Source organism: Homo sapiens, chromosome X (assembly GCF_000001405.40).
Source record: "Homo sapiens chromosome X, GRCh38.p14 Primary Assembly".
NCBI classification, from domain to species: domain Eukaryota; kingdom Metazoa; phylum Chordata; class Mammalia; order Primates; family Hominidae; genus Homo; species Homo sapiens.
In genome coordinates, this window is record NC_000023.11 from 4279369 (window position 1) to 4288337 (window position 8969).

The 8969-nt window shown below is 39.3% G+C and overlaps 1 annotated feature.

Moving 5' to 3' along the window:
• Nucleotides 6222-6397: a silencer, noted in NCBI's record as "fragment chrX:4203631-4203806 (GRCh37/hg19 assembly coordinates)". NCBI's record gives its function as "represses an EF-1alpha promoter that drives an FKBP-Casp9 reporter gene in an ReSE screen in K562 erythroleukemia cells {active_cell/tissue: K562}" and the evidence as "EXISTENCE:reporter gene assay evidence [ECO:0000049][PMID:32094911]".

The window sequence follows — 8969 nt, forward strand, 5'->3', positions numbered from 1 at the left end:
TAAACATATACATATATGCACATATATGTGTGCATATATATCACAATATATTATAAGAAATATATGTATTACAGTTGATCCTTGAACACAACATGGGTTAGAACTGTGTACATCAACTTAGGCTGATGGGTTGTCTTCAGCCTCTGCCACCCCTGAAGACAGCAAAACAAACCCCTCCTCTTCTTCCTTCTCAATTTGGAGATGATGAAGAGGAAGACCTTTACGATAATCCAGTTCCTCTTAATGAACAGTAAAGATATTTTCTCTTCCTCATGATTTTCTTAATGACATTTTCTTTTCTCTAGCTTACTTTGGTGTAAGAACACAGTAGACTGTACATGTAACACATAAAATATGTGTGAATCCACTGTTTATGTTACTGGTAAGGCTTCCAGTCAACAAAAGACTATCAGTATTTAAGTTTTGGGGAAGTTAAAAGTTATATTCAGGGCCTGGCACAGTAGCTCACACTTGTAATCCCAGCACTTTGGGAGGCCAAGGCAGGTGGATAACCTGAGGTCAGGAGGTCAGGACCAGCCTGGCCAACATGGTGAATCCCTGTCTCTACTAAAAATACAAAATTAGCCAGGTATGGTGGCACATACCTATAATCCCAGCTACTTGGGAGGCTGAGGCAGGAGAATTGCATGAACCCGGGAGGTGGACTTTGCGGTGAGCCAAGATTGCGCCACTGTACTCCAGCCTGGGCAACAGAGCAAGACCCGGTCTCAAAAAAAAGTTATATTCAGATTTTTGACTACATGAGGGGTTGGTGTCCCTAGCCTACATGTTCAAAGGTCAACTGTATATCTATTATATTTTATATGCACACATGTAGACGTGCATTCATATATGTACATATAAATAATATATCACAATATGTTAATAGAAATGGGTATGTAGTATATTGATTATATATATGTTATGTATACTCTATCATGCATCTACCTATGCAACAAGGAATAAGTGATTACAGCTGCTATCTGACTTAGTTTTTAACTTCTCTCTTTCTTGTCTGCGTGGCTTGAGGAATTTTCTTATAAGCTACTTTTCATTCTCCAATTACACTAATTCCCTTTACGGCCCAAAAGAGCAAAAAGAAAATAGATTTTTAAACCCTTTGTTTCGTTTTGCTAAAGGTTGTGGCTGCCTTTTATTTTTATAGTGAGATTATCTGTAGTCATTTTCAGTCAACTTCAGCATAGTCAGTAAGTGAGAAACTAGTAGTTCTCAAACATGTCATTTCATGTAATCATACGGAACATGAATATAGAAGAATTTTATTTTGGAGAAAGATGTTTCTGGCAAGGTCTGTCTCTTTCAGGTAGCTTGTATACTGAATGTGAATTGTTACCTTTTTCTTCATTTTGTTTGTTTGTTTGTTTGGTTTTTTTTTTTTGACATGGAGTCTTGCTCTGTCACCCAGGCTGGAGTGCAGTGGTGTGATCTTGCCTGTCTGCAGCCTCCGCCTCCCAACTTCAAGTGATTCTCCTGCCTCAACCTTCTGAGTAGCTGGGATTACAGGCGCCTGCCACCACACCCAACTAAATTTTGTATTTTCAGTAGAGGCAGGGTTTCACTGTGTTGGCCAGGCTGTTTTTGAATTCCTGAACTCAAGTGATCTGCCTGCCTCAGTCTCCCAAAGTGCTGGGATTACAGGTGCAAGCCAACACGCCCCGCCTACCTTTTCATATGTCTGTGAACACACTTGGAATGCAGATGCCAAATCAACCCTTTTGCATCAAGAAAATGCAGTTTAACCTCGACTGTTTTGAAAACTGGGAAGCTACTGTTAATATCTTTGCTAACCTTATATCCCAGCTTCTTGCTTTGAGAAATTATAAGGATCTATTTTTATTAAGTATTAAATGTTAGAAATCTAGGAACCATGTGCTTTGAAATAAAGTTTACTATAGTGATGGTGATTTTCTCCCCATCTAATATTTGATCCTACAGGTTGACTTCATGTTACTAATCACTTTCCTCTTAGGTGTTGCTAGTCACACTCTGACACCACTGTCCCCCTAAAAGGGGAAAGTGATTTTAATTATGATCAAACTTCCTTACAAATTGGAAAGACGTGTATCGTCCCCAAACAGACACCAACCTGGTCATCTGAATCATGTGGATCTAACCAGCACATCTGTTCTTAAAAGGAAGATGGTATGATTTGATATTCTTTTTTTTTTTTTTTTTCTCATTTTGATCTATGGCCTTGCAGAGCAATTCTGTCCAGGGGACCCTTCCACCACAGTGTGGATGCTTTTCACCTGTGCCATCAAATATGGCATTGCTAGATGTCTGTGGTTATTAAGCATTTAAGTGTGACTACTGCAGATGTGTGGGTTTTAATTTAATCATTTAATAGTGACTAAATATTCATAACAAAATATACCCTCTTAACCATTTTAAAAATTTTGCATAAATTTAAAAGGTACATGTATTAGTCCATTTTCATACTGCTGTGAAGAAATACCTGAAGACTAGGAAATTTATAAAGAAAAAGAGGTTTAATGGACTCACAGTTCCACATTGCAGGGGAGGCCTCACAATCATGGTGGAAAGCAAAGGAGGAACATAGGCATGGCGGCAGGCAAGAGAGCTTGTGCAGGGGAACTCCCCTTTATAAAACCATCAGGTCTAGTGAGACTTACTCATTAACATGAGAACAGCATGGGAAAACCCGCCCCCACAATGAGGTCCCTCCCATGACTCATGGGGATTATTGGAGCTACAGTTCATGAGATTTGGGTGGGGACAGAGCCAAACCATGTCAGTACAAGTGCAGCTTTTTTACATGGATATATTGCATGGGGTAAAGTTGGGACTTTGAGTGAATTCATCACCTGAATAGTTTACCTTGTACCCAATAGCTAACTTCTCATCCCTCACCCTTCTCCACCCTCCCAGCCTTCCAAGTCTCCAATGTCTACTATTCCACTCTCCGTGTCCACATGGATACATTATTTAGCTCCCACTTATGTGGGTGAACATGCAGTATTAGTATATGACTTTCTGTTTCTGAGTTATTTTCCTTAAGATAATGGCCTCCAGTTCCATCCATGTTGCTGCAAAAGACATGATTTCATTCTTTTTTATGGTTGCATAGTATTCCATGGTGTACATGTACCACAGTTTCTTCATCCAGTCATCCACTGATGGACACTTAGGTCTTTGCTACTGTGAATAGAGCTGTGATGCACGTAAAACTGCAACCATTAAGTACATTCACATTGTTATGCAACTATCACCACCCTTCATCTCCAGAACTTTTTTTGTCTTCTCAAACTGAAACTCTGTCCCCATTAAACACTAACTCCCCAGACTCCTCTTTCTTCTGCCCCTGGCAACCACCTTTCTACTTTCTATCTCTATGAATTTGACTGCTTTATGTGCCTCATATAAGTGAAATCATATGGTACAGTCATCCATTTAACAATAAGAATACTTCCTGAGAAATGTACCATTAGGCAATTTTGTCTTTGCGGGAACATCAGAGAGTGCACTTACACAAACCTAGGTGGTACAGCCTGCTACACACCTACATTATATGGTAGAGCCTGTTGCTCCTGGGCTACAAACCTGTGTGGAATCTTACTATACTGGATACAGTAGGCAATTGTAACACAATGGTAAAGTGATTATGTATCAACACATACCTAAGCATAGAAAAGGTACAGTAAAAGTATGACATAATCTTATGAGACCACCATTGTATATGCAATCTGTCATTGACTGAAATATATTTTTGTGGTGCAAAGTGGTGTTTTTCTTTCATTGTGACTGGTTTCTTGAGCACAATGTTTTCTTTTCTTTCTTTTCTTTTCTTTTTTTCTTTTCTTTGAGACAGGGTCTCACTCTGCTACGCATGCTGGAGTGCAGTGGTGCCATCATGGGCCACTGCAGCCTTAATCTCCTGGGCTCAATTAATCCTTTTGCCTCAGCCTCCCAAGTAGCTGAGACCACAGACATGCACCCACATGCCCGGCTAATTTTTGTATTTCTTATAGAGACAGAGTTTTGCCATGTTGCCCAGGCTGGTCTAGAACTCTTGAGCTCAAGCAATCCTCCTGCCTTAGCCTTCCAAATTGCTAGGATTATAGGCATGAGCCATCATGCCAGGATGAGCACAATGTTTTCAAGGTTAATCCATGTTGTAGCATGTGTTAGAATTTCTTTTTTCTTTTTAAGGCTGAATAATATTCCATTGAATGGATATACCACATTTTGTTTATCCATTCATCTGTCAATGGTTGTTTCTACACTTTGACTATTATGAACAATGTTGCCATGAACATGTTTGAATCCCTGCTTTCAATTCTTTTGGGTATATATTCCAGAAGTGAAATTGCTGGATCATACACTAATTCTATGTTTAATTTTTTGAGGAAAAAGTTATTTTTTTCTATTTTACTATTTTCCATAGCAGCTGCACCATTTTATATTCTCAGAAGGAACTGAATTGTTCATTGCAATTTAAATTTAAATAGCCACATTGGCTGATGGCCTTGGTATTGGACACCATTGTCATAGATGACCAAAGTGAAACTTAAAAATTTATTTGCCCTGATGATTGGTAGATGAAACAGATTGGAATCTTCAGCAATAGCAGTCATAATCATGGGATATTTTGCTCCAAAAGTATTAGAATTCATTGGTCAATCTTCTATTTTGCATTTACCAAATATAAAAGCCTTTCTTGAAGTTTAAGGTGTCTAGGTATAAAAACATTTTAATTTGAGTAAGCTAATATTGATTGCTTGTCTAAAATTTGCACTCACACCATATCAAATTGAATGTAGGAATAAATGAGTGTGTTGCACATAAGTCTTTGTGATACCACTATATATGGGGACTTCCTGCAGGGGTACATTTGAAAATTTAAAGGATGCATGTTGTGTAAATGACTCAAAGCTCCATAGGCCCTGGGGAAGGTAGGGAGAGAACCCCATTGTGTCTCTTGCTTCTGTTTTGTGATAGGTTTAGCCCATGCTGGTTTGCCTCCCTCTCAGACATTTTAATAAACTCAACATACACAATTATTTCTCTCCATATCAATGGGAGGAAAACACCAGCTATGATTGCAATGAGCTTTAGAAGAACATCCTCCTCAGAGCACTAGAGCATTTGAGTTTGCTAAACTGAAGAATAACCAACATGGATTAGAGTGTATAGAACTCCAGAGGACAAAAAACTTGCTCATATAGCCAGCACTTGGATCAAAACATGGGCATTTTAACGACTCTATAATGCTCCCTCTTAACCACCCATTTTTGTTCAATGATCCATGCCCAATATGGTAATAATAATGTCTATTCTGATGCCTGTCACACATTAACCTCTCCTCTGATATCTACTACTGTGGATTTATTCAACTTCTTTCTTTGTAGCAGTAACTATTGCTGTGTAACAAAATCCCCCATCCTTGGTGGTTTAAAATAACCATTTGGTTATGCACACAAATTCTGTGGGGTGGGAATCTGGACAGAGTATGGGGAGGATGGCATGTCTCTGCTCCACGAAGTCTGAGGCTGTCAGTTCTCAGCTAGGAAAACTCAAAGACTGAGGTTGACTTTACAAGTAGGAGTAGTGCGATCAGAGAGTTTCATTTACTTCTATTTCTAACCCTTGTGTTGAGATGACTTGTGATTTGGACAACTCATCAGAGAGCTTACACAAGGTCTCTCGAGGGATGGATGCTTCCCAGCAGAATGGACTTAGGATGTTTCATGTGGTGGCTCAGGGCTCCAGGTACAAATATTCCAGGGGCAAGGAGAGCATCACTATATTCATTTCTTAGGACTGCTGTAATAAATTGCCACCCATTGAATGACTTTTAACAACAGAATTTTATTTTCTCAGAGTTCTGGTGGCAAGAAGTCTGAAATCAAGAGGTTTCAAGGCCACACTCCTTCCATGGGCTCTAGGGGAGGATCTTTCTGTCTCTCCCAGCTCCTGCGGGGTCCAGGAATCCCTGGGCTTGTGGCCGCATCTCTCCAGTCTCTGCTTCCATCTCCTCGTGGCCTCTGTGTCTGTGTCTTCTTCTCTTTTGTCTCTTAGAAGGACATCTGTCATTGAATGTAGGGTTCTCACAGATAATCCAGGATAATTTCATCTTGAGATTCTTAGTTACATCTGCAAAGACCCTATTTCCAAATAAGCACACATTTACAGGTTCTTTGTAGATGTTAGCACATGGACACACCTATTTGGAAGACACAAACACAATTCTACTCACTTCCACCATCTTCCCTTGGCTGGATCTGCTACATGCCAGTCCAGATTCCAGCAGAGGAGAATTATACGCCACCCTGTGATGGGGTTGGCGAAGTCACATTGGAGAAGACATTATAGGACAGAAGAGAATGTGTGGCCCATTTCTAAAACACAACCTGCTGTAGCTGTGATCATCTCAACATTTGACCTTGATCAACATCAACTGTGCTAGCACGATCTGCGAATGAATGGCATGGTGCTTGCTATGGCCTCAATGTTTAAATCCCTTAAAATTCCTAAGTTGAAATCCTAACCCCAAAGGTGACTGTGTTCAGAGGTGGGGCTTTTTGGAGGTGGAGAGGCCATGAAGGTAAAGCCTTTTATAGTTCTCTTATAAAAGGGACCCCAGAGAGCTCCCTTGCCCCTTCCTCCATGTGAGGACACAGTACGAAGGTGCTGTCTATGAATCAGGAAGCGGGTCCCCACTAGACACTGAATCTGCCATGTCTTGATCTTAGACTCCCAGCCTCTAAGACTGTAAGCAATAAATTTCTCTTGTTCATAAGCCTACCAGTCTATGATATTTTCTTATAGCATCCTGAACAGACTAAGACTGAATTACCTCTGCTTTTTCTTAAGGTTGGCATTTCCTGACTACTTTTAAAGCAAACAAAAATTGTGATTGCTTGCATTCCTTGGTCACTTCTTTGCTTGGAGGTAAAAATATTCTATTAGCTTTTCAACAGGCTGCGTTTTCTAATGGAGGTGTTTCATTGTGGCTATTCGTGTATGCTTCTGATTCCTCGTTATAATATTGCTTCTTTCACACTGAGATACTCAGCAACTTGAAAGGTGAAATATAATCTCACACACACACACACACACACACACACACCCATCCGGTCTTTATTTATACATACAAATACGTTTACATATACACACAGAGAGAGACAGACTTTTTAACCTATTCATAGTTAACAAATATTTTAACACACACACACAGAGACAGAGAGAGATCTTCATCTATTTATAGCTACAAATATATTTACACAAACAGAGAGACAGAGAAAAAGAGAGATCTTCATCTATTTATACTTACAAGTGTTTACACATACACACACAGAGATTTATATCTATTGATACTTACAGATATGTTTACACACAGAGAGAGACACAGAGAGAGAGAGATAGGGAGATCATCATTTATTTATACTCACAAATATGTTTACAAACACAGAGAGAGACAGAGAGAGAACTATTTTAATCTATTTATACTTACAGATATGTTACACACAGAGAAAATGAGGCAGAGACATTTTCATGTATTCATACTTACAAATATGTTTACCCCCCCCCACACACACAGAGACAGAGAGAGAGATCTTCATCTATTTATACTTAAAAATGTTTACACACACAGAAAGACACACAGAGAGAGATTTTCATCTATTTATACTTACAGATGTTTACACAGAGAGACAGAGAGAGATTATTATCTATTTATACTCACAAATATGTTTACATAGAAAGAGAGAGACAGAGAGATTTTCATCTATTTATACTTACAGATATGTTTACACACAGAGAGAAAGAGACAGAGAGATTTTCATATATTCATGCTTACAGATATGTTTACACAGAGAGAGAGAAAAAGAGAGATTCTCATCTATTTATACTGACAAATATGTTTACACAGGGAGAGAGATGGAGAGGGAGAGAGATCTAGATTTATACTTACAAATGTGTTTATACACACAGAGACAGAGAGAGACAGAGAAATAGTCATCTATTTATACTTACAAATATGTTTGCATACACACACGTGCGCGCGCGTGCACACACACACACACACACACACATATATATATAGAGAGAGAGAGAGAAAAGAGAGACAGAGATTGACAATGCTCTATCCTGAGAAGTTTGCCTTGAGAGTACCCCTTCTGCATTTTGTCAATGTTCATTTCAGTGTTAGTGTGGAGAATTCGACAGAGCATAACTGACTTGAAGACCATTGCCACATTTTAATAATATGGTGAAGAGAACTCATCCAGCTGATCAAATAGTAGGAACACCCATTTAAGAGGCAGAAGAATCCCCTGAGTCAACAAATCCGTATGGAGAAAGCTGTCTTTTGAGAGCCCTCTGCATTAAAATTTTGTGTGAGTGAAGATAAATACAGCCAGCCTTTCACTAACTTACAGGTTACCCTCTCCAGTGCTTTCCAGTCCTGGCCCTTGTCTTAAATGACCCAACAAATATCAGAACCAAAGATGATTTGCTCTCCACATGCAAACTTCTCTAGAGGATGCTGGCTCTAAGAGCGCTTTATTTTCATACTTGCTCCTATTTTGTCAGAGAGTGGGAATCTGGGAGTTGCCTTTTCCATTCCACCCCACTCAAGTTCAGCAGTTGCCCTTTTGTTCTTTGTAGGAAGAGAAAATTAAATCAATTGCTGGTGCAGGTGTGTAGAAATCGTCTCTGGTTTGCACAGACTGTGGGAGAGAGGAGAGGAACATCAGCCATGGCTTTCAAGTTAATTCTTGATATGTTGGTGAAGGGTTGGTCGTAACTTTTTGAATTCATTTTTCAGAATTATGAAGTACCACAGACTGGGTGTCAGGAATAACAAAAATGCATTCTCTCATAATTCTGGGGTCTAGAAGTCTGAAATCAAAGTGCTAGCATGGTTGGCTTCTTCTGTAAACTCCAGGAGAATCCATTTCATGCCCCTATCCTATTTTTATGTGGTT